At 38.9% G+C, this 2,416-nt stretch overlaps 1 pseudogene; it reads right to left on the bottom strand.

Moving 5' to 3' along the window:
* Window positions 764-2,054, bottom strand: HNRNPA1P20 (heterogeneous nuclear ribonucleoprotein A1 pseudogene 20; annotated as a pseudogene).

Consider the following 2,416-nt stretch of genomic DNA (forward strand, 5'->3'; position numbering starts at 1 on the left):
AATTCTATGTGTTCAGGGATTATCTTTCTAACTAACTTTGCCTAATCTAAGTGCCTTATATAAGCAAAGGCTTGGTAAATATTTTAATGATGATAGAGAAGAAAGTTATCATCATTTAGGTTCAGTAATCTAGGAAATCAATTTAAGCCATAGTATCATACATAGTAAAGCAATATTTCTTTTTTTTTCAAGTAAATGAAATAATTTATTGATTACACATGGTAATGGATGACACACAAACTTTATTCCCATCTATAATTTTATCTGGTACAATTATTCAATTTAGATATATTGCATAGGATGTGCCAACAATCATTTTTATAACCATTAGTTCCATGATTTTGTTTGGGTAATCTCTTTTAATGGTAAACTTCAGGTCACAACAGTAACTATCAGTTCAACTACACCAAGGTTTCTAAAGACAATGGCTTCTCCACCCAAGCAGGTTGCATATAAATTCCAAATAGAACCTGGCATCACCCTGAAGGAATTCTAACTTCACACTGTTGGGGAAATTTACCAAGATGGCTTCAGAGTAGACTAACTTTGCACAGCACATTAAAAAAAAAAAAGACACTCATTCTGTGTCATGATCATACTACCGTACATTTATGGTGCAAATATATATATATGTATATGTGTGTGTGTGTATATATATGTATATATATGTATGTGTGTATATATATGTATATATATGTGTGTGTATATATATGTATATAGAGTGTGTGTGTGTGTATATATATATGTATATATATGTGTATATACCCTTTGTGGGAATGCTTTACACTTTCCACAGAACAGAAACTAAAACTAAAATAACCTGTTATACAATTAGTCACAAATATAGTCCTCGAGGTTTTTGCCCATACACATGAGGATTTATTTAAAACATGTCTTCTCTGTAGCAGCTAGGCCCTGCCACCACTGTGCTTGGCTGAGTTCACAAATCTGTTATAACCTGTAGCTTCCCTGTCACTTCTCTGGCTTTCCTCTCCTGCTAAGCTTTGTTTACTAATTAAAATCTCTACCACAGCTATGGCTACTGCTGCTACTGGAACTGTCATAGCCACCTTGGTTTAGTGGTTTGGCAAAGTATTGGCCTCCACCATCACAGGGGCCAGAGCTTCTACCTCCAAAATTTCCTCCCATCATGGGTCCAAAATTTGAAGACTGATTGTTGTAATTGCCAAAATCATTGTAGCTTCCACCACCTCCAAAATTGCTTCCATTATTACCAAATCCATTATAGCCATCCCCACTGCCACCATATCCACCACCACCATGGCTGCCACCAAAGCCACCACCACCACTGAAGTTTCCTCCATGACCAAAGTTGTCATTCCCACCGAAACCACCTCCATGACACAACCAAAGTTTCCAGAACCACTCTGACCTCTGGCTAGAAGAAGCACTAAGCCATCTCCTGCTTTGACAGGGCTTTCCTAACTTCACCATTGTGGCCATTCACAGTATGGTATTTCTGAATGACAGTCTTATCCACTGAATCATGGTCATCAGTGTTTACAAAGTCAAAGCCCCTTTTCCTGCCATTGCCTTGGTCAGTCACGATTTCAATCACTTCAATTTTTCTATGCTGTTCAAAATAATCTCTTAGGTGATGTTCTTCAGCATCTTCTTTAATGCCACCAGCAAATATCTTTTCCACAGTTAAATGGGCACCTGGTCTTTGAGAATCTCCTCTTGAGACAGCTCTCTTTGGTTCCACAACTCTTCCATTCACCTTGTGTGGTCTTGCATTCATGGCTGCATCCACCTCCTCCATAGTGGCATAGGTGACAAACCCAAAGCCCCTGGAGCACTTGGTGTTTGACTCACTCATTACCACACAGTCTGTGAGTGTTCCCCATTGCTCAGAATGGCTCCTCAGGCTCTCATCGGTTGTTTCAAAGCTCATCCCTCCAATGAAGAGTTTCCTCAGCTGTTCGGGCTCTTTAGGGGACCCTGACTTAGACATGATGGCAGGGAGAAGAGAGACTTTAATGATGCCTCCTTGGCGGCGTCCACGAGCAGAAAGGAGCAGCTGACAAACGTATTTCAGCAATATTTCTTAATATTTGAAAAAGTTATGTGTTTTCACAGATTACTTTTTCTCTCCTATTAAAAATTTCATTTAGAACTTTTTTTTCCAAATGTTTCTTTCAAACTAGTGCTGATTTTCAGTAAAACGATGGCTATTATCTCTACTTCAACAGGCAATTTTTTCACACATCACATTCTCAGAGTCTATATGTTGATGATTTTTAAAGGAAATCTTTTAGCTATCTCTTAAGAAAAACAGTATTAAAACTGAGGTGACTGGCCAGGCACAGAGGATCATGCCTGTAATGCCAGTACTTTGGGAGGCCAAGTCAGGAGGTTTGCTTTAGGCCAGGAGTTTGAGACCAGCCTGGACAAC

The sequence above is a fragment of the Homo sapiens genome, chromosome 3, assembly GCF_000001405.40.
Source record: "Homo sapiens chromosome 3, GRCh38.p14 Primary Assembly".
NCBI classification, from domain to species: Eukaryota; Metazoa; Chordata; class Mammalia; order Primates; family Hominidae; genus Homo; species Homo sapiens.